The sequence below is a fragment of the Homo sapiens genome, chromosome 9, assembly GCF_000001405.40.
Source record: "Homo sapiens chromosome 9, GRCh38.p14 Primary Assembly".
Classification (NCBI taxonomy): domain Eukaryota; kingdom Metazoa; phylum Chordata; class Mammalia; order Primates; family Hominidae; genus Homo; species Homo sapiens.
The window spans coordinates 134,769,302-134,790,590 of record NC_000009.12 but is presented as its reverse complement, the minus strand read 5'-3'; the positions used below and the strand labels follow the sequence as shown (position 1 = coordinate 134,790,590).

The following is a 21,289-nucleotide window of genomic DNA, read 5'->3' as shown; positions in this document are numbered from 1 at the left end:
GATGGATGGATGGATGGATGGGTGGGTGGGTGGGTGGACGGATGAATGGATGGGTGGGTGGATGGATGGATGAATGGATGGGTGGGTGGGTGGGTGGGTGGATGGGTGGATGGGTGGGTGGGTGGCTGGATGGATGGGTGAGTGGGTGGATGGATGGATGGGTGGGTGGCTGGATGGCTGGGTGGCTGGGTGGGTGGGTGGGTGGGTGGATGGATGCATGGATGGATGGGTGGATGGGTTGGTGGGTGGGTGGATGGATGGATGGATGGGTGGGTGGATGGATGGATGGGTAAAAGGACAGAGACAGAGAGGGGTGGAGATGGAGATAATAGTCTCCTTGGGTCTGTGCTGCCAACTTACACTCAGAACAGACTTCTTTTTCCTATTTTGTGAATCTGGCAGAACACATTTGTTTGCTCATAAGGTTTTGGCCAGGAGGGACAGGCCCAAGAGGGAGCTGCAACCCTGTAGCTCTGTCTGCCCTGGGACAGCAGGATGGGGCATAGGAGGATGGGCTGGGCAGGGCTGCAGGATCATGGCTGGGGCTACAAGGCAGGTGTGAGCTCTGCCATCTTTCGGGGAGCATGTCCCCCAGGCCTGCTCTGCAGATGCTGTCCTGCATGTACACCACAGACTGGCCTTTCTCTGTCCCCGCCATATGCCCCGTGGACAAGGCCAGCTCAGAGTCCAAGGCCTGAGGACCATCTCTCTCCTGTTTTCCCAAGTGGCAATGCTCAGGCACTGTGATTTCACTAACAAGCATCCAGGACCGCTCCTGCAGGGAGGCCTGGGCCAGCGGGGGCTCCAGAAGGTGCAGGGAGAACACAGCTCCCTCAGCCCGGCCCCCTGTTCCTTCGCTGAGGGTGAGGACAAAGGGGACTCAAACCACACTGCAAGCTGGTGGGTGTTTATGACAATGGCAGCTTGCTAATCCCGTCCAAGTTAATGTTAATTTAAATGACTTTAAATTTGGACGACGGTTAAGTAGCAGGACATTTTTGAAGGGAAAAAACAATCTCCTTTTTCCCTTCCTTTTAAAATTAGCTTGGAGGAAAAGCCCACTTGGGTAGAGGAGAAGAATCTGATTTTCAGAATGACCTGAAAGAGCCTTCTGGATTGTGGTGCTAATTAGAAAGCTCCATTTTCTCAGCACACTTCCTTCCTGCCTCTGCCCCTTCCTATCACATACCTGCCCAGCCCAGCGTCTGGAGAGTGTCACCAACACGTGGTGCTGAAGTTCAAGAGCTTAAGGCCAGCCATTCAGGAGAGCAGTTTCAGAAGCAAGAGAGTGAGAAATAAACAGGCCGTCGGCTGGAGAACCAACTTGCTAGGCACCGAGGCAGCCGAACAAGCTGCCTGCCCAGGGGCCAGGCTATCCTTACCCTGCCGCCCTTCTCTCCATTGGCGCCAGGAAATCCAGGGAATCCAATAGAGCCCTGAAAGAGAGTTTAAGGAGGAGGCATCAGAGCTGGGCCAGGAATGAGTCATGCTGCATGGGCCGCCTGGGGGACCACCTGCATGCCAGTGCACAGCCTCTGCCCCAGACTCCACCTGCCCACCCACCCAACCACCCACCTACCTGTCTACCTACCTTCTCACCTATCCACCTACTCATCCATCTACCTGTCTACCCACCCACCCACTCATCCGCCTGTCTACCCACCTACCCATTCATCCGTCTACCTGTCTACCCACCCACCCACCCATTCATCTATCTGCCTGTCTACCTATCCTCCCACTCATCCATCTGCCTGTCTACCTATCCTCCCATGCCTCCATTCATCCACCTGTCTACCCACCCATCCACCATCCACCTGTCTACTCATCTGCCCACCCATCCATCCACTTGTTTACCCATCTGCCCACCTACCCATTCATACACCTGTTTACCCACTGGCCCACCTATCTGTCTATCCATCTATCTGTCTATCCATCTATCTGTCTATCCATCTATCTGTCTATCCATCTATCTCTCTATCCATCTATCTGTCTATCCACCTACCCACCCACCCACCTACCCATTCATTCCATCTGCCTACCTATCCACCCACCCCTCCATTCACCCAACTGTCTACCCACCTGCCCACCCATCCATTCACCCACCTATCCACCCACTGGCCTACCTATGTATACATCTACCTGCCTACCTACCCACCTAACCATTCATCCATTTGCCTGTCTACCTATCCACCTACCCCTCCATTCATCCACCTGTCTACTTACCTGCCCACCCATCCATTCATCCATCGATTTGCCTACCTATAAACCCACCCCTCCATTCATCGACCTGTCTACTTACCTGCCCACCCATCCATTCATCCACCTCTCTGCCAAGCAGCCCACCTATGTCTATCCATGTGTCTACCTACCCACCTACCCATTCATCGATTTGCCTACCTATAAACCCACCCCTCCATTCATCCACTTGTCTATTTACCTGCCCACTCATCCATCCATCTATGTATCTACCCCACCTGCCCACCCATCCATTCATCCACCTCTCTTCCCACCAACCCATCTATCTGTCTATCCATCTGCCTACACACCCACATACCTACCCATTCATCCATCTGCCTACCTATCCACACCCCTCCACTCACCCAGCCACCTATCTCTTTATCCATCCTCTCTACTCAATAAATATTTCCTAAGCATTTCACAGGCTTCAGCTCTAGAAAGCCAAATGGAGTTTCATCATGCTCCCTCCCCTGCCACCATCCCCCACGCGCCCATATCCATAGGAGGGTGGCTGGTGTTTGGGAGAAAGGGACACACACTGCTGAGCTGAACTGAGGTGAGACATGAACATTGCACTGTGACATTGTATTTTCTGTGCCTCGTGCACGTTGTGTTGGCGTCCCACAATCCCTTTAAATAAAGCACAGCAGCTTGCAGAGTTGGGAATGAATGCAAATTTATGCACTGACTGTAGCACCTACCAGCTCTTTAATTCTAGAAGTTTGCAAGGTGCACACAGACCAGAGATGGATTTAGGGACTCTGACCTGGTGAATATCCAAACACCCACACAGGAAGCAGCACCGCAGTGAGGTCGCTCAGCTGCCCACAGGGTTGGCGCTGGCCACTGTCTTTGGCAGGTCTCTATTTGTCTGGCTTAAAATCCTGTCCTGAATGCACACTTGTATCCATGAAGAGCTCACACATGTCCAAACCTTGTATTTCTCACAGGGGACTGAGTTCAGCCAAGCCACTCACACGCCCGCCTGCCAATCTAGGCAGGGGGCAGGACCCAGGAAACCTCAGTGCAGGTGACACAGAGCTCAGTTCAGAAACCGGGTCACTGTGCTGATGGCTACTTCTAGTCTCTGCCCAGGACACATGTACCATTCCTTTCCAAAAAGTTGCCTGGACTTGATTTAGACCACCCATCTTTCCCAAACTTCTCTTCTTTCCATCCCCAGAGGGATGTATATTAAGAGAGGAAAAGTGCCCATCAGCCCCTTTGACCACATTCAGTGACGATGCTGCGGTCAGCAGCTACATCACACCCACGTTCAACGAGCCACTGTTAGATCCTAAATGAAATTCCTGTTTCACAGCAAGCTACCTCTCCTGCATATGGGGTGTGCATCCACACACACGGAGCAGGGGGCTTCGCATTCCACAGGAAGGACGGACAGGAGCATTTCCTTAATGAGAATGGAAATACCTGGAGGGCAGCCTCAGCCCACCACGCCCGTCCTCCTGTTAACAAGACTGCTCCAGTGAGACCGAAAAGGTGCTGAGGCTAAAAGGAGATGCCTCGGGCAGAGGCAGATCTGAGAAAGACGGGACCCCGCTTCGGCTGTTAATTATGTCTCCAGTGCAGGCAGCTGGTTATTCTTTAAGGAAGAACCATGAATAATAAAATGTGAGATTTGAAAAAAAATAACATTTTCAATGATTTCCAAAGCCTCAAGGAGCTGTTTCACTTAAACCTGAACATGATTTCACATAAGAAAGGTTTCCTTTTTCTTTTATACTCCATTATGAGCAAATAGCCTTCAAATCGCCGGTGAGGTAGAGTTGAGAGGCGACCATCCCACGGATTCTGGGTATGGACAACCCAGGGGAAAAGGGCCACCAGCCAAGCAACAGGTGCAGAAGACTGCAGGGGACTCCAGGAGGATCCCAGAAGGACCCCAGGTGTCTGTGCCGACTGGGGCAGAAGACTCATTGCCCAAGAGCCTCCTTTCAACTCGGCAAATTAATGCAGAAGGCAGTGAACACGGTGGAGGCTGAGAGCCACAGTGTCACACACGCCCCCAAGGATGGGGAGTGGATGAACCTGTGCAGGGTGGAGACGGCCGGTGGAGCATCCCTCCACCTGTCCCGGGACACCTAACATAGCTGGATGCAAGGTGAGGAGGCCTGGCGGTACAACCCCCACGCCTGCACCAGGACACGTAACATGGCCAGAAGTTATCGGCAGAACATCCTTCCACCTGTGCCGGGACACCTAACACGGCCGGATGCAGGGTGGGGAGACCGGGCAGAACATCCCTCCGCCTGTCCCGGGACACCTAACACGGCCAGAAGTTACCTTTGGTCCTTGTCTTCCTGGATACCCTGGTAACCCTGGGACTCCGAGTTTTCCCTGGGGGAAGAAAGAGTTGCATTAATGGCCAGCACGGTATTGCTCCATCCGTTTCCCCGGAGCAGAGAGAAAGGACATGCGTTCTGGCAGGGGCCTGGAGGAGGGTGTGGTTTCCAGAGGCGGGGGCACACGTCATTATGCAGAAGCCCTGCCTGCCCTAGGTGGAGGGTGACTGCCAGCACCCATGAAATCCAGGGGGTACCCGATGGTCCCTGCACCGAGGAAGAAGCGAAGGCCCCTGGAGGAGAGGTCTTGCCACTGTGGAGCAAAGCGATTAGAGGCAAATGCCTCAACTCAGCGTGTTCATCCTGGGGCACCTCTGAGCCCTTTTGTATGGGTCCACGTAGCAGGATAGGGCAGGAAGTCTGGACCACTGCATGCACCATTCCTGCCTGAGCCCAGGGTGGAAACAGGGTGGAGCCAGGGTGTGTGGCTGGCCCAGGAGCCTCCCACAGCTGGAAACTGCAGGCCTATTGATGGCTGCATGCCCAGAGCCTGCTCCAAGGACCCCGGCCTTCCTTCCTGCCAGGCTGCCACACCTTCAGGCCATGGTGGGGACACCGTTATTACCCAGCTGTGGAGGCGGGAATGTGACAAGGACGGGGTCCTGGAATGTTGGGGCTCAGAACGCAGGCTTTGTAGCCACCGGGAGGAAGGAGCCTTCCAAGGCGATGGTGGAGGGCTGGGAAAGGGCGAACCCGGGACAAGGAAAGGGTCATCATTCAACCAACAGCTTCATAGGAACAGCAGAGAGAACCCAGGGTGGAGACAGGAGCCCGCTCAGGAATCACCCCCACCCCATGCCTAGGGCAGCCACAGCCAACGGGAGCCCGAGGCCATGGGGAAGGGCCTGTCAGATCCCTCCCAAGAAAGTGGCTGAACGTCCCACATCACAAACCTTCTCCCCAGGGGGTCCCAGAGGACCGGGGTCACCATTGGGACCTCCGCGACCCTTTGGGCCTTCAGGGCCATCTTCTCCCCTGGGACCGGGTGGGCCGATCTCCCCCTGCAAGCCAGAAAAGAGGAGGTGAGAAGACCACCCCCCGCACACACACTATTCTCCACCACCATTCTGAGAGCAAGGAGCAAGGGGACAGGTCACAGGCACCCTGTGGTCAGAGCTGCTCCACCAGCTCGGCCTCACTCAGACCACGGAGCTGCTCCCGGAGCCACTGACAAAGCGAGCGCATTGTACCGCGAATTCCCGGGCTCCCGGGCTCTGCGGAAGCTGGTCTCTGCACCGAGGTTGCCTGCTATTTATTTTCTCAAGGCTGCAGGCTCCTACTTCCCAATTACCTTCTCTAAATTGAGTGCCTCTTAGCTAAAATAACTTTGGTTAACAATAGTAGCTCTGAATTGCTGTTTCTCCAAATAGAGCAGAGTGACTGGGAGCTGCTGCTGCTTCTGAAACCCCAGGAGGTATGGAAGTGGACCCCAGCCCCGGATGGGGCAGTTACCTGGGCATAACGAGCACACGGGAGGGCCTCAGGAGGCGTCCCAGGAACAGACGGGCTTAAATTCCGCCTCGTCCAACTTCCTCAAGTTACAGATTGGGAGCTCGGGGCTCAGAAAGGGGAGAGGGCTCTGGAGCCTGCCCAGGCAATGGTAGCGCTACGGCAGAGTCTCTAAATGCCCTTCCCGGCACTCTTTGTCCAGCAATGGATGGATCCTCCTCTGATCATCTGTCTCTAAGAGCAGCTGTAAAGCAGTGGTGCAAGCCCACAACAGAAATGTGTATTGCTCAGATAGAGAAAAATGAATAACTTCCTAATTCTGAGGCTCTAATCTGTCATCGGGTCAGGAACTCTCTGTCCCTAAGAGGTGTTCCTCTCGTTCAACAAAATAACCCGGCACACATTTACAGAGCACCGAGAAGGTGCAAAGTGCCAGGCTGTGCTCTCTGAAGAGGTCCGCATATGGGGTCCTGTTCCCTGGGCTCAGGATGGGTCCCACCCCTGCATCCCACCCTCGTCCCATGGCAACGAGAGCTCCACTCTCGGAGCCCTGGCACGGGAACGTGTGTCATCTCTTCTGAAGCTGCACCCTCGTCACGTGGACGCCACATGTGTGAACAGAGGCATCAGAAAGGAGGAGAAAAGGACTTTCACCATCAAACCGAGAAGCCGCTGGGATGTGGGGATTCAGGAGCCTTCTACTAGGAAAGAAGTTCTAGAATGGGTGCCTTTAGCAGCAACTTAACTGGGACAACATTGCGCAAGAGATCCCCTCCTTCCTCCCCCTTCCTTCCCACAGAGGTGCAGATTGCCTCTGCCTTTTGCCTGCCAGGTTGGGACGAAGTGCCAAGTGTGTGGGGCTTTCCTGTTCTGGAAAGCCACCTGCGAGCCGGTGCTGCAGGGGGATGACTGCGGCAGCTGGGTGACAGCCCTGCTGCAGCCGACAGATGTCCGTCCCGGTGCGTGCACAGCTGTCACCACGGCTGTGCCCACCGGAGGCCGAGGCGTCTTCGGTTCCTTCTGCTGGGCTTCTGCTCGCTGAGAGGTTACTGGGGAAACCTCCAAGAGTCTTTTGGCCACCCTGGCTGCTCTAAGAGCTCCCTACCCTTCCTTCGTGCCCTTTGCGTCACCTTCTCTTTAATTACAGGAACGTGCAGCCCGTCACTTTCTGTGGTTGCCGGCAAGCCCCAGTCCCTCCCAGCACCCACCGGCTTTCTCTGGAGCCGAGCTAAATTATTCATTTAAAAATAAGCCAGGTCTCCTGAGCCAAAATCACAGACCACAGGACTGTGTGGGAGTCCCAGGGACCCTGAAGAACTGTCTGGGGACCAGGACGCTCCCCAGGCTCACAGGGATCCTAGACCCACGTCGCGTGCTGCCCTGTGGGCGCCGGCCGTGTGGCCTGGGCAGCAGCTGCGCTCCTTCGGTAGGCTGGGTCATTTCCGTAGCTGCTCTCTTTTCTCTTCCCAGGCACCGCTTATCCCTCTTGAGTCAGGTGAGTAACTCTGCAGTCCACAGGTGCAGTCAGAAGTGAACCCAGCCCCACTGACCCCCTGTGTGGGACACTGGGCGGAGGAGCTGGCGACCACAGGTTATTCCCAGTCCCCAAGGGGCAAACTGAGGAAGAGGAGGTGAAGAGGAGCTGGAGAGAGTCGGGCCCTGGGCTCCACGCCACTGTCCCCTTCCCACCAGGAATCTCTACCAAGAGTTTACCTCCATTCTGAGAAGCTGCCCTGTGGCGGCAAACATCCCCACCCCCTCCCACACGGCCAAGCCCACCCAGCTTTCCCCAGCCCAAATCCCAAACCTGAGATGCTCACCCGATCACCCTTGATGCCCATGTCTCCTTTAAACCCAGGAAAGCCGTCTTCACCCTGAATATGGGACAAGAGAGTGCCCTAGTCTAGGCAAGAGGACCCGCCTCCCTGGCGGTCCCTTCCCCGCTCCAAACAACCACACTCAGCACCAGGTCCCCCACGCTTGGGGGGCAGCACATGGCCCGGACGGGGTGGGCTTGGGGCCCATCCCTCGAGAATGGCTTTCCCATGAGCTCTGCGTTCCCAGCTGTAACGTTCTGAAGCTGGAGAGAGCTGCGTCCCTGCTTCTTGGGCAGGCCCAGTTTGAATCTGAATGTTCTGCATGGCGAGGCCTCAGCAAGCCCAGGCCCCTGAGCTCCCGGTATCATTTCTCAGTGCACTCTGTGGCGTCCCATCAGCACTGAAGCACTGAAGTGACGGGTAAAGGGGGTGACAATTGAGGACGGGGAGCTGGATGAAAATGCCCCTGCAAAGAATCCCTAACGCCTGCTCTTGCCGGCACTGCAGTAACAGGCAGTGCTTTCTGAAGGGTAGGGGTGTTGCCGGGGGTGGCGGGGGAAGTCAGCGGCCCGCGCACCCCTGGGTTACTGGTGAACCTGGGACCCAAGTGAGGCTGCCGCGCGTCAGTGCCCCCTGCTGTCCGTTTGAGTCCCTGGTCTAGACGTTCCCCATCCCGGAAACCGCAGGGCAAAAGCCCTCAGATCCTTCAGCAGAGGGCACGGGTGGCTCCCAGAGAGGGGACCCTTGGCTGGGCTTTTCCTGTCATTATTCAGGGGCTACATCTTGATCCAAAAAGAGTGAAAGGACAGGATCTGGGGACTCAGCCGGTCGTAAACATTCAAGGCCCGGCTGGGGGCACACGCAAGGGAGGCAGCTTTCTGTGCAGTGAGAATCCAGCCCTTTCCAGCCAGCGCCAGCTCCCGGGGCTCCCAGGGCCTCAAGGCACTTGTTCACAGTGTTCACATAGTGCTGGAAGCTGAGCAGCGGCCACAAATAATGCAGAAGTCCACAAAGACGGTCCCTTGGCACTGCCCCACTCCTTCCCCAGACCATGTCGGGCTGCCTGCGTGGCCCTCGGGAACAGTGCGGGAGCTCTCCTGGCAAGAAGGCATCCCCTGCACAGCCCAATCAGTATCATCTCAGGCAGCCCTGTCTCTGGCTAGGGACAAACGTGACAAGATCAAGCGGCAAAGCTGGACTCTGTGAAGCCACCTTGGAAAGGATGAAAGGTCCTCAGGTGAGGGAGCCTCCCGGGGACCAACGGGATGGAATTCTGGGATGGGGACCCTGTGTTCGTAAGGCCCTCGTGTTCCGAAGCCCCGACGGGCTCCACGTAGAAAGCAGTGCTCTTGGAGAGGCCAAACTGCTCAGCTTTCCCGGATGAGGACTTAGGATTCCGCTGTGCGGATGCCCTTGGGAAGGAGCCGAGATGGCACAGGCTCAGGCCTCCTGGCCGGTCCTCCCACAAGGGCAGACACTAAGAACAGAAACCAGGGACCAGCACGCTCAACAAACTCCGTGGAACAAGAGCGTTCCTGCTGCCACATCATTTCTGATCCAGTTGTGGCCACTCAATGCGTCCCCTCGGGAATGGCTTTAAGGCCGGCAGATTTCACAAGAAAGGATCCAAGCGACATCTTCGACAGGTAGCAAATAAGGAGTCTCGGCACGTGGACCATCACGCCAGCACCCGCACTCCAGCCCCGCAGGCCGCCGTGGCCAGGGGAGAGCCCAGAGTCTGCCCAGCAAAGGGGACCAACATGCCTTACGGAAAGCAAGTATTGCATGGCTACACGGCATGGCAGGGCGAACCCACAACAGAGCGTGAGGCCACGGTGGGGAGGGTGGCACGGTGAGGCCGCCCCTGAGGCCTAAATCTGTGTCATAACTGGGCCTTGGATTTGGCTCTGAGCTTCCTTCCACCACAGTGAGAAGAGAAAGGTGGCCGGCCACGCAGCTCCATGTGGCTCAGGCTGTCGCCGCTGCAGGCTGCACCCAAGCTTCTGACTCTGGCAGGCATGCATGGGGGTGTAGTTTAGCTTTGTCTTCACCACAGTGATCTGCTTAGGCCTGACCTGCCCCCACGGACCATGGCCAATGGCACGGCCTCTCTCCCTCCCTGCCTGGCTCTGCTGCACACTGTGAGTTTCTGCAGCTTGGGCTGCCCAGGGATGAACATCTAACAACTAAGTGGACCCTCGTGCCAGCGGCCATGCAAGGCGGCCCACCTGGGAGTGGGGAGGGTGACAGGTGTCCACTGGCCCCTGCAGGCACGTGGGGGGCCGTGTGTTGTCTCTGGGGCCAAGGCCTTCTCCTTGTGCAGAGACACAAACCCTGGACCCACTCAGCTCTGCTAGGAGATGTGCCCCTGGGGACCCGAGGGCCTATCCTCAACTTACTCTTCTTCCGTCTGCAAACAGAGACACTTTCCACAGAGTGGCATCCATCCCCCTCAGTACTCAGAGGCGACATCCACCTCAGCTGGTTTCATGGAAGAAGCATTGTGGGAGGGCCCCGCTGGCTGGAATTCGGCTCCGGACTAAGCAGGGGGCCCCGTGGCTGCAAGGAGAGACTTACCTTCTCGCCCTTTGTGCCCTTCAGACCACGGATGCCATCGGCCCCCTGTGCGGGTGGGAAAAGAAAAAGGAGTGAATGGTTACAAGTCTCAGCCTTTCTAGAGCTGTCGCAGGCGTGTCAAGACAGGCTGAGCTCGCTGAAGCTGACAGATGAGGCCAGCGCCCTGCCCTCAACACACTTCCTCCCATATGTCCCCCTGTGGCCTCAGGAGGCCCAGCGTGTCCACAATTCCTGGGCTGACTCCACTGACTCCTGTTCTTCATGCAAAGACCCAAACCCATCCCCCACCTTCCAGCCCAAGCTCTGGACCCGCCCTTCCAAGGGCCCACACCCGGCAGCCAACACACCCCTCCTGCTTCCCATTATAGCATCATCTTCTAGAAACACCCCCACCTTTCAGAGGTTTGGGGAGGAAGCAGGAGGTGAGGTCTAAGGCAGACTTGATTAGGTCCCAGCTCCCCCTCCATGGCCTCTGACAATGCCCCAGACTCCTGCGTGCCTCAGTTTCCTCATTTGGGAAGTGGAGAGGACGACAACCCTTACCTCGTTACCACTGTTGGGAGGGAAATGCCTGCTAAGCTCTCAGAACAGCACCTAGCACCCAGCACACAGCAGGTGTCAATAAACAGAAGCCCAGTGCCATGTATTTCAACTCCGTGTTAACATGAAGAGATGATACTGTGATATTACTAATGAATGATGATAACATATTTATTGCAGTTGTCATGAGTTCAGGACACACCATCCCACCTCCCTGCTGAACAGGAGTTTCTGGGACGGGGCCCAGGACTATTTCTCTGACACTCTCACTGTGCCAAGCGCCTGGGGCAGTGGAGGTAAATCTGTGGGGTGGAATTACGCAGCCACACCCTTGCTGTTAATGTCTTTGACTTCAGCCCTCCCAGCAGGGTGACTTTTAGCTAGAGAGACTACCTCGGGCTACCTCAGGCCACCTGCCCGTGGGACTTGAGAGAGAGAGAGAAGCCACACTGCCCCCGGCACCGGGATTCCAGGCTGAGGCTGAAGCCGGGGCCACAGAGCACTGGAGGACGCAGGGCCTGCCGGCTGCCCTCTGGTGGTCAGAACTTCCCACATACTTGGCAGTTCTGGCCTTTCCCCAGGTCCTGGAGAGGGAGGGGCTCTGGGAAGGGATGGAGACACGGAGGAGCTCCTTTCTGCAGAGGTGGCTGGCCTTGGGCTGCGTGCCCTGGCTCTGCCAAGGAGCTGCGGATGTAACTGCAGAAACGCCTTCCACTCCAGTGCCAGCTGCAAGGCACTTCCAGCCACGCAGACAGGGCAGCGGCGTGGTTGCCCTGAACCATAATCACTGGAGGATTTGGAGCACCGGAGACAAGCAAGAGTTCTGCCACTACACCTGCAGGCACCATTGCTGAAGTCATGTCTGCTTCACACCTGGCCGCCACCACTAGTGGAGAGGCCTGGGACACCTCCCTCTACGCCCAGCACAGGGCGGAGGCAGCCGGGAGGGCAAGGTGGGCTCGGAGCAGCTCTGGTTCGTCTGGCCTGGCACTTGGCACACTAATGTGGGCCAGCATGGAGCGCCTTGGGGGGACAGGGCACAGCTCAGAAACAGCACTGGCCCAAGCAGGGAGGCCGACTCCAAACAAGCCTCTCCTACGCTAGTCTCTACCCCAGCCTGAGATGGGACATGGACCTCAAGATGGAGAGGAAGCGCCGGACAAACACAGCTTGCGTATTCCAGGGCTGAGTGGGAACGACCAGCCAAGCCGCGAGGAGGCTCAGAACAGCCTGCTGCAGGCCACTGCCCCCACTGAGCACAGCACGCGCTTGGCAGCACCTGTGGGCCCGGGCAGCCCAGGAAGGTGAGAAGTGACTCAGCTGGGCCAGCTGCTGAGAGGCGAGTGGTTTCTAAGCACTTGGTGGTGTTTTTTTCCTAGCAGATGCCTTCTTCCAAAGCAATCCTGGCTGGAAGCCCCCAGAGTTTTGAAAAGAGAACAGGTAGGGCCACGCTGGCTGACACAGAGCTGGGGGCCCCAGAAAACCACCTGCCGTCTCACCACGGCGTGGCATCGCCTCAGAGACAACAGCCCCAGAACCCCACCAAGAAGGGCTTTTTAGGAGATGAGCTACTTTCTTTTCTTAGGGCAGTTTTGAGTCCTCACCATACTTGCAAAATAGAAGAGCAACTTTGGATTCTGCTTATTTCCTCTGAAACGCACAGGAAAATCGCAGGTGTGGCTGAGAATACAATCAGGGTTGAGCCTGCTCAGCAGCGTCTGATCCTGAATGCAAGGTGATGTCCAGCTGCCCCTCCCTGCCCTGAGTCCTGGGGGACTGGGTTTGTGTGGCTGGCATTATTTCCCAGGAGCACTAAACTCCCTGGCACAGCACCCGGGGGCATTGGCACCAGCTCTCCTCCCTCTGGCTGGGCAGGCTGGGGGACGCTGCTGCTCCCTCCCTGCCCATGCCCTGCTGAGAGCAGGCAGGTAGGACCGCAGCCTCCTGAGACCCCTCTCGGTCCTACAGTTCTACCGTTTGAGGATCCCCATCGGAGGAATGGGACCAACTAGACAGAACCAGCCGCAGCCTCCTGAGACCCCTCCCGGTCCTACAGTTCTACCGTTTCAGGATCCCCGTAGGAGGAATGGGACCAACTAGACAGAACCAGCACTTCCCAGGGCTTCTTGGCCACGGGGCTGTTGACATTGGGGCTGCTGTGTCCGTGGTGGGGTGAGCAGCACCTCCCATTAGAGGGCACTCCCCAGTCATGCAGGAAGTGGCCCTGGCTGGGAAGGGCTGGATTGGGGCATCCGTGACTCGGCCGGCCAGCCGCCCCGGGAAGGAGCACTCAGGAGCTGCAGCACGGCTGGGACCAGATGTGCGCACAGCCCAGAGAGGGACAGGCTTTCGCCCAAGGCCTGGATGTGAACTCATATTTGGGGCCTCCTGGCAACCCCCTAGCAGCTGGGGGCTAAACGAGGGGTGGATTTGACTCTGCTGACAGTCAAGCTTAAACAGGTGCCCCTTCAGACGTGCAAGGCAGAGGGAAGCCTGGAGGTGGGCTAAAGGTCAGTGAACTCAAAGGAACACGAGCCTGCTGTGGCCTGAATGTCTGTGTCCACCAAAAACTCATATGGTGAACCCCAATACCTGAGGCAATGGAACTAGGAGGTGGGGCTGTGGGGAGGTGACTGACTGGGTCACAGGGTGGAGCCCCTGTGATTAGGATTATGCCTTTACCAGAGGCCCCAGGGTGCTCGTCCCCCCTCTTCTGCTATGTGTGGACACAGTGAGACGGGACCATCAAGGAACTAGACAGCAGCCTTCCGCAGACACTGCATCTGCTGGTGCTGTGATCTTGGAATTCCCAGCCTCCAGGACTGTGAGAAATAATTCCCTGTTGTTTACAAGCCACCCATTTTAGGGTCTTTTGGTTATAGCAGCCCCACTGGACTAAGAACCTTTTCCTGGGAAGAAGGTAGGGCTTTGGTGGAAAATAACGGGCCCCCTCTCACCAAGGACTATTCACCTCAAATGGCGGCAGCTCGGCCCACGCAATCCCACGCCCTGCCACCATCACTGCCACCCGGGCCAAACTCGTGAGGCGCCGACACCACTCACATTTCCAAATGCACAGGAGTATGAGAAACTTTTTCCCCGATGAAAATAATTTTAAACCTCGGTTTTCCTTCCACCCTCTGCTTCCAAGTCTAACTGGATTGCTCATGTCATGAATGAATTTTAATCAGATAGGCAAGATAAGAGCATTCTCCATAAACATTTTAAAGCAAACACCTTTTTAGCTCACAGAAGCAGCGTTATGCAATTAGCCATGTATGGGAGTTGGCAGAGGCTTCTGCTATGCGACAGGAATTTGTAAAATAAACATGCTATAGAACTCACATAATCAGCATTTCTACTAAATTATCACCCTTATAAAATTCGCTAGGCATTTTGCTGGTAGAAGCTGGCTTTAGGGAAAAACCTGACTCGCCTAAGGCTCCCAACCGTTGGGAGGTCTCTCTTCAATACCTCGTGAACTTGGAAGGTCCTCATTCCTGGGAAATGGAAGTCGGGGCCTCCGGGGGACAAGGGTGGGGCACTTGATTTGGAACCTGGTTTGATTTCTGACAGCAGCCTCGATTTTAGTGTAATCTGGGGCATGTCACTGAAAACTGATGTCTTGGGCTCTCAGAGCAGGTGAGGGGTGACCAGCCAGAGTCAGGAGGGTTGATTCGGAGCAGACGACAGTTTCCAGTTGGCCTCCATGCCCCAGGGCGGCCACACACTTCTGATGTGCAACAATGTTTGAAAAGCATAAAGCCCTTCAGACCAGGGAGGTGAGGGGCAGGGGAGCTGGTGAGTCATTTCTACAAATCCCTCAAGCTTGACTAGTTGCTATATATACACACATATTCCTTCACATCCAGTTAAAAGCATCTTGAAGGAAAGAATCATCATGAGCCTTTAAGATACCGCAAGTCCCCATTCTCAGAGGAAGAGGAGAGCTGGTCCGCGTGCGCCTAGGGGTATGTCTGTCTACACAGAACGTGCCGTGTCCAGAGAGCAGCACAACTCGAGATTGCATTACCCAGCTCAGAGCAAACACAGTTAGCTGGGCTGTGACAGAGGGGACCTGTGTCTGGGATATTGCTCTGGAGCTGTGCGCCCCATGTAACGAGGTTGTCAGAGCCCGTCATGGCAGAAACACGAATGATTGTGAATAAATGGACAGCTCCCATGAACTCCGCCTTGCGACAGCGCTGGCCCACCCAGATGCTATCGGTGGAGACAGACTCTGTTTCTCACTCGGAATGTGCAAATGGCTGGGAAGAAATGTTTCCGAGCTTCCCCAGGAAAGAGGCCAGGCTCTTGGCTTCAGCCGGGATCTGCTGTCTGCGAGGAGAGTGACAGAAGCCTGACAAATGGCAACAATTAAAGAGGCAAGAAGCAAAAGGACGTGTCCCGTCCTGACAGATGGCCGCCAGCGCGCCCCTGGCGTCGTCACCAGACTGCAGACTGTCCTGTGCTCCATATCAGCCCTCCTGACTCTAGCTGGTCACACCCTCACCTGCTCAGGCCCGCTGTCCTGAGACCTAGCGTCCACACAAGTGACTGGGAGGACTGGGCTACTCCAGACTGAATAGCAGGGACATTAAACCACAGAGAATTCCCTAAAACCAGCCACGCCAAGGCCCACAGTCCCAACCCTGACCTCCAGGACGACCTGGAGTGGCGTGAGTCTCTCTCACCTTGACTCCTCGAGGACCTGGGTAGCCAATCGGACCCTGGGGGCCAGGTGGACCCTAAAACCAAACAGAAAAAGACCGTTAGCCCCATGCCAGTGTGGAGGTGCCTGGGGAACATCAGGAAACTCCAGAGTTCGGCATACCCCTCCTGCTGAGAGCAGGGCGAACATCCCAGCTCAGAGCCTCCAGAGAGGCCCCCCGTGGGAGACTCGCACAGGTGTTCACAGCCTGCACTGACAGTGGAGGTGTGGCTGTGTCTCATGCTGAGCGGGACACAGAGGTGAAGCAAACGCTGGCCCCACCCCGGCAGTCAGGGAAATAAGGGATAGGCTGGGGGAACAGTGAGACGGTGAAAGGTCAGCGTTGGAGCTCTGCAAGGAGTGTTGTCCCTAAAGAAATGCATTCCCAGCCTAAGGTCCTTGGAATAAATCAGGAGAGCTTCCGGCTGGGAGAAGGGACAAGGCTGCTAGACAGGGAAGAGACATCCTCCAGCAGCCAAGGGCCTCGCCGATGCTCAACTAGAGCTCATGGGGGTGGGCATCCAGCCCCCATGCCCCCAGCCCAAGACTCCAGCATGATGAACGGCTCCCACCGCCTCCCTCCCAGCCCCCTTTCCACATGGTGTCACGGCAGCGGCTGGAGCTCCCAGGCAGGATGGGCTTGGTGGCCTCCTCTGCAAGGCTGCAGCTCTGAGGCCCGGGCCCGGTCTGCCTTGCTCCCTGCTGTATCCCATCGCTAACAGGATGCCTGGCACATAGAGGAACTCAGGAAGTCCCAGGGAGTAAGTGAATGCCTCTCGTTCCAGTTGAAAAGCCAGCTCTCAGAACAGTGGGCCTGTGCTGTGGGCTCCAAGTGCCAACCACCTGTCAGCACCAGTTCCGGGCACTGTGCGAGCTCTGGTGGCCCCAGGTGCTGCCTCCACCTCTGATGATAAGAGGCTGTGCCCAGGGAGGAGGGCTGGTAAACTCCCCACTGGAGGCAGCGGGAACTGGGTCTCCCATGGTGAACGGAAGCCAAGGGCCGAGGGGAGGGTTCACCCCAGTGGCTGCTGCGACCTTCAAGAGAGGGAACGGGGCAGAAGTGGCGAATCTCAGACCGCTCTGGGTCTCAGAGGCAGCACGTTGGAGAAGTGCCACTGCCCAGCAGGCCTGGCACTGGAAATTGAACTCCCTGTGAGGACTGGCGCTAGCTCTGCTGCCCTGGAGGGTCAGTCCTGGCCTACCACACCCTTGGCAAGGGGAGCTGGGACCAGGCCCCAGACCCCATCTTGCCTGCACAGGCCCTGCTTCAAGAGATAAATGTTAATCAGGCCCGATTCCAGAGCCTGTGACAACTGGGGCCTCTGGAACCCTGGAGCAGGTGGGCCTCTGCCCTCAGCCCCAGGCTCCCGACGACCATGAGCTCGGTGTGCGGTTTCAACACACAAGAAAAGCAGTCTTGGGGTGAACGAAGGTTGGCGCACACCAGGACAGCAAGAGCAGTCCCCACTGGCTACTCCTCCCGTCTGGAGGCTCTTCCCACAGAGGTGCTTGCAGCCCAGCAGCTTTGTCATGAATCGCAGTGGAGAGAAGGCGCTGGTGGACGTGCTGCATGGGACCCTCGCAGCCCAGCAGGCCCCGCAGGAGGAACCACAAGCCGCTCACAGTGTCGGACACAGTCATCCATAGAAAGACTCCATCCCTGGCACCGGCGTGACCTGGTAGGTCTGTCCCCATTCATAATAGCATCTCCCCAAAACTCAAAGGCCACCCAGCTTGTGCAGAGTCAAGACCAGGGCTGAACACGGAGACACTGCCCTGCTGCCCACACCCCATCTGGTCATGGGCACCCGATCCGGTCATGGGCAGCAACTGGAGGGTGGGGTGAGGGGCACTGACCCAGAGAGGGGTGCCCCGCTTCTTGGGGAAAAGGCCTGTGTCCCCCCCAGGCTGGGTCCCTTGGCGGAGACACCTGAGGAAGGGCTGAGTGTCCCCGGCTCCTTCCTTTCCAAGCTGGATGTCCCTGAGCAGAGGCTGAGCCCAGAGCACCTGGACCCGCCCCACCTGGATGCTGAAGGGTAGGAGGGCGTGGCGAGCACCCACCTGACCTCCTTTCTCTCCTGGAGGGCCTTCTTTGCCAGGGTGTCCCTGTCACAAAAGAAGAAGCATTGATTAGTCAGTGCCACTCCAGAAAGCAGCCTCCCTCGCTTCCCCTCCCTGCGTAGCATCCATGATCATGGAGCCCATTTCCCTTCCTCCCCAGGAAAACTGAGAGCACCAGAAGTCGAAGGCAGCTGGCCAGGCAGCCAAGCACAGCCCGGCCTCCCCGAGCCGCCAGGCCCTGAACCTCGGCTGCTCCATCTGCAAAATGGGAACAATAAGCCTGACCCTGGCCCAACCCCGGCCAAGGCCAGAGACTTGCGGGGAGTATGCAGCAACCCCCAAGTGCACAGGTGACCTGCACGGTGGCTCCTGACCCGGCCAGAGCCAGCCCGCCCTCCAGTGCAGGTCCACAGACCAGTGACCCACGAGTGGGGACAGGGCCAACAAGGGCCTCTTCCCCAGGTCACCTGACAAGATGAATCTGCACAATAATGAGCTGGGACCAGGTTCCTGGCATCCCTGCTTCCCGGACTAGCAATTGCTGAGCTGTCTGCAAACCTTGGAATCTCTGATTGTTGGGGAACCAAAAGCAAAGCAAGGTTGGTGCGGGGTGGAGGGCTAAGGCGTGTTACTTGACTGAGGGGTCCCAGCACATCCGTGAGTCTTCAAACAGCTGCCTCGTTTGAGACCCACACCCTCGGGTCTCCACCTGGCCTCGGGGATGGAGGGGAGCTGAGCGAAGGTGAGGACCTATGCCCCATGTGACAGGTACCCAGCCGAGGCTCTAGGAAGGACCTGTGTCTCCTGCCTGCCTGGGCCTGTACTAATTCCATTCCTAGGAATGCAGGTTTCTCTGACTTTCCAACCCAGGCGGGTCACTCGGTTTAATGCCTGTGAGCTCAGGATCGGTGAGCCAAACTTCCAGGATAAAAGCAGAAAGATCATCAATGTTCACTGTGCAGAAATGCAGTTCCACCAACGAGGATTCCAGGAAAGAGGCTGGGCAGGGTGATGAGAAGGCTGGCAGGGTGGGTTCTACTCCTGGACACACTCAACCTGCTGTGTGAGCTTGGGCAGGTCACTTGCCCTCTCTGGGCCTCCCGCTTCCTCAGGTATAACACGAGAGGGTGGCAAGATGCTCTTCTACCTTGAGTGGCCTAACGTTGATCTGAGACTCTTTCTAGACACAGTAGCATTAAGAAGACCCAAGTCTCGTTGCCTCAATTAAATGGTTCGTGTGTGACTTTTAAGTTTTTATTAGCTGTCCAATTGGGTTTGATGCCTTTGCAGACAGCCTATCCTAGCAGACAGCCTATCCTAGCAGCAAGTGAGTGGGAGGGCGCAAAGTTCCCCTTGAGGGAGGCTTTGAGGAAGTCCAGGCACCTGCGGGACCTCACCCGCTGCTCCAGCTGGGAGGGGACGTGCTTGGCCACCACGCCGCCTTCCGGAAACAAGGCTCATGGCGCCAGCACCTCAGAGTGGCCGGGCTGGACCTGAACAGAGCCAACTAGAGGGTGTCCTGGTCCAGGGTGGCCAGGAGGGGTTCTTTGTGGCCCTTTATTACACTTTCTATCAGCCACAGACACCTTTCTGTGAAGGACCTAGTGGGTGGATCTGCAGGGGGGCCGAGAGCCCGGCTCTGGACCGGGCAGACCCAGCCCCGGCTGCTCGAGGAAGCCCCCAGGCCTCTCCACGTGGTCATTTCCTCAGTTCCAGGCTGGAGATAACAGCACATCTGCACACAGCGCCGCTGCGGAGACGCACAGAGCGTTTGCAAGGGGCTCAGAACTGCGCCCACCCAGGGAGCACCAAGCAGAGTTAGCGGCCGGCATCACGGCGGCCTCCATTCCCATCCAGGCCAAATTCCTTTAGGTATATTTTCAGTTACAGATAGAGAATGAGAGTAAAGCAGTGGGGGGAAGCACAAAGCTCCCTTACTAAAAAATGTTTGAACAGGAAAAGGCAGAAAGGAAACGTAACAAGATAACCACGACTGATTTTCCTGCAAAGCCGGGCAGGGCCGCTTTCCCCTTTCTTTCTACTTGTGTGTGTTTCCCAATATTCTATAATGAGCAGTGCTTCTGTAATGGGAAAATAATAAAGCTTACATTATTTGTATTTGATATTTTCTGATTAAAAAAGTAACGTATGTTCATCATAGACAATTAGGCAACTGGAAGAGGAATTAAAATCCTTCATCACCTCACCACTCGGAGTGGCTGTGGCTAATTGTATGATAGAATCATCTGTCGTCTCTGCAGATATGCATGCGCCCTTGGCATGGTAGATCTATTTTTAATTTAATATTACATTGTGAGCATTTTTCTCATGTCACGGAGTATTTGTCTAAATTCAATTCTTACTGGCTCTGTAATATTCCACTGAGCCATAATTCACTTAACCATTTCCCCAGCGTGTGATACCAGGAATATATTCCACTGAGCCATAATTCACTTAGCCATTTCCCCAGCGTGTGCTATCAGGATTTATTCAACAACATATTTCTAGGCACTGAGTCTGCTCTGAAGTGCCTCATACCTCTTGATGGATTTTAAGGCAATCTTCCTTTCTTTGAAACCAAAACCAAAACAAGAAAAAAAGAAAACTCTCTCTGTAGGGTTTACCCTCAATGTGCTGCCTTTGCAAAGGAGAATTTTTAAACATCTTTTCTTTCCTCCAGATTTTCGTGGGAGATGGCTGGGGCTGTCTTTGGGCCTACCCTTTGCTTCCTTTTGCTCGAAGCACCTTCATGTGAATGGGGTCCACCTACGCTCACATTTTAAGCTTTAAATTCGGGCTGGGGAAGGGACACCTTAAAGGCCTTTCCTTCCCCCAAAGAATATAAAAGGAAACTGCAGGCTCTTTAGGGACCCCAATTCTTTGGAGGTTTCAACATGGGGAGGGGAATTCCAGGGAGAACAAGTTAGGTCAGCTGAGGGCCGAGAGAATGATCTTGGCAGGAAGGTGGGGTGCAGCCCCCTTCACACCCAGGCCCCCTTCCTCCCCGCAGAAGGAAAGAGGGGTGCAGCCACCTTCACACCCAGGCCCCCTTCCTCCCCGCAGAAGGAAAGAGGGGTACAGCCCACTTCACACCCAGGCCCCCCTTCCTCGTGTGGCCTGCTTCACACCCAGGTCCCCTTCCTCCCCGCAGGGCTCTGGGCCCAGCCACTGTCCCCACAGATTGCGGCCCATACTCCATGGACACCACAGCCAGCAGCACGGGAACAGAAAACTAGCCTGGAAGGACACACGTCCACCCGCTGTCAATGGCTAAATCAGGAGATGAGATCAAAGGTGGCTATAATTTTACTGTAATTTTATTTATTTTCCTAATTTTCTATAACAAGATGTGCTGTTCTGATCATTAGAAAGGGCAATGAAATATAAATGTAAATTAAAGGACACAACACATTGGAAAAGATGAACCACTCAGTATGCAAACTCCCATGTGGCCAGGTGACCACGGGGCCCCACAGCTGCGCGCGTGGGGATGAGAAGGCTCCACTCTGCTTCTTCTGACCAAGAAAGGGCAG

General features: G+C 56.1%; 1 protein-coding gene and 1 long non-coding RNA gene across 4 annotated transcripts in view, besides 5 other annotated features; one reads left to right on the top strand and one right to left on the bottom strand.

Moving 5' to 3' along the window:
- COL5A1 (collagen type V alpha 1 chain) overlaps positions 1-21,289 on the bottom strand; it is a 203,041-nt gene that overhangs the window by 54,253 nt on the left and 127,499 nt on the right. For all 3 annotated transcript variants that reach the window (NM_000093.5, XM_017014266.3, NM_001278074.1), the window contains exons 26-32: positions 17,757-17,801; positions 15,679-15,732; positions 10,445-10,489; positions 7,871-7,924; positions 5,495-5,602; positions 4,543-4,596; positions 1,383-1,436 (exon numbers count right to left, since the gene is read on the bottom strand). In NM_000093.5, coding sequence (NP_000084.3) covers positions 1,383-1,436; positions 4,543-4,596; positions 5,495-5,602; positions 7,871-7,924; positions 10,445-10,489; positions 15,679-15,732; positions 17,757-17,801 — 414 coding nt within the window. The remainder of the gene's footprint in view (positions 1-1,382; positions 1,437-4,542; positions 4,597-5,494; positions 5,603-7,870; positions 7,925-10,444; positions 10,490-15,678; positions 15,733-17,756; positions 17,802-21,289) is intronic.
- Positions 5,383-6,335: an enhancer, noted in NCBI's record as "H3K4me1 hESC enhancer chr9:137676102-137677054 (GRCh37/hg19 assembly coordinates)". NCBI's record gives its function as "activates a minimal SCP1, AML or CMV promoter by ChIP-STARR-seq in naive and primed H9 embryonic stem cells {active_cell/tissue: H9 hESC(naive and primed)}" and the evidence as "EXISTENCE:reporter gene assay evidence [ECO:0000049][PMID:30033119]".
- Positions 11,749-12,358: an enhancer, noted in NCBI's record as "H3K4me1 hESC enhancer chr9:137670079-137670688 (GRCh37/hg19 assembly coordinates)". NCBI's record gives its function as "activates a minimal SCP1, AML or CMV promoter by ChIP-STARR-seq in naive H9 embryonic stem cells {active_cell/tissue: H9 hESC(naive)}" and the evidence as "EXISTENCE:reporter gene assay evidence [ECO:0000049][PMID:30033119]".
- Positions 11,935-12,194: an enhancer, noted in NCBI's record as "active region_29287". NCBI's record gives its function as "activates an Ori minimal core promoter by ATAC-STARR-seq in GM12878 lymphoblastoid cells {active_cell/tissue: GM12878}" and the evidence as "EXISTENCE:reporter gene assay evidence [ECO:0000049][PMID:35858748]".
- Positions 12,871-13,016: a silencer, noted in NCBI's record as "fragment chr9:137669421-137669566 (GRCh37/hg19 assembly coordinates)". NCBI's record gives its function as "represses an EF-1alpha promoter that drives an FKBP-Casp9 reporter gene in an ReSE screen in HepG2 liver carcinoma cells {active_cell/tissue: HepG2}" and the evidence as "EXISTENCE:reporter gene assay evidence [ECO:0000049][PMID:32094911]".
- Positions 14,711-19,962, top strand: LOC124902301 (uncharacterized). Its single transcript, XR_007061843.1, has 2 exons — positions 14,711-17,374; positions 17,917-19,962. It is a non-coding gene; the product is annotated as an uncharacterized LOC124902301 (long non-coding RNA).
- Positions 16,769-17,270: an enhancer, noted in NCBI's record as "H3K27ac hESC enhancer chr9:137665167-137665668 (GRCh37/hg19 assembly coordinates)". NCBI's record gives its function as "activates a minimal SCP1, AML or CMV promoter by ChIP-STARR-seq in primed H9 embryonic stem cells {active_cell/tissue: H9 hESC(primed)}" and the evidence as "EXISTENCE:reporter gene assay evidence [ECO:0000049][PMID:30033119]".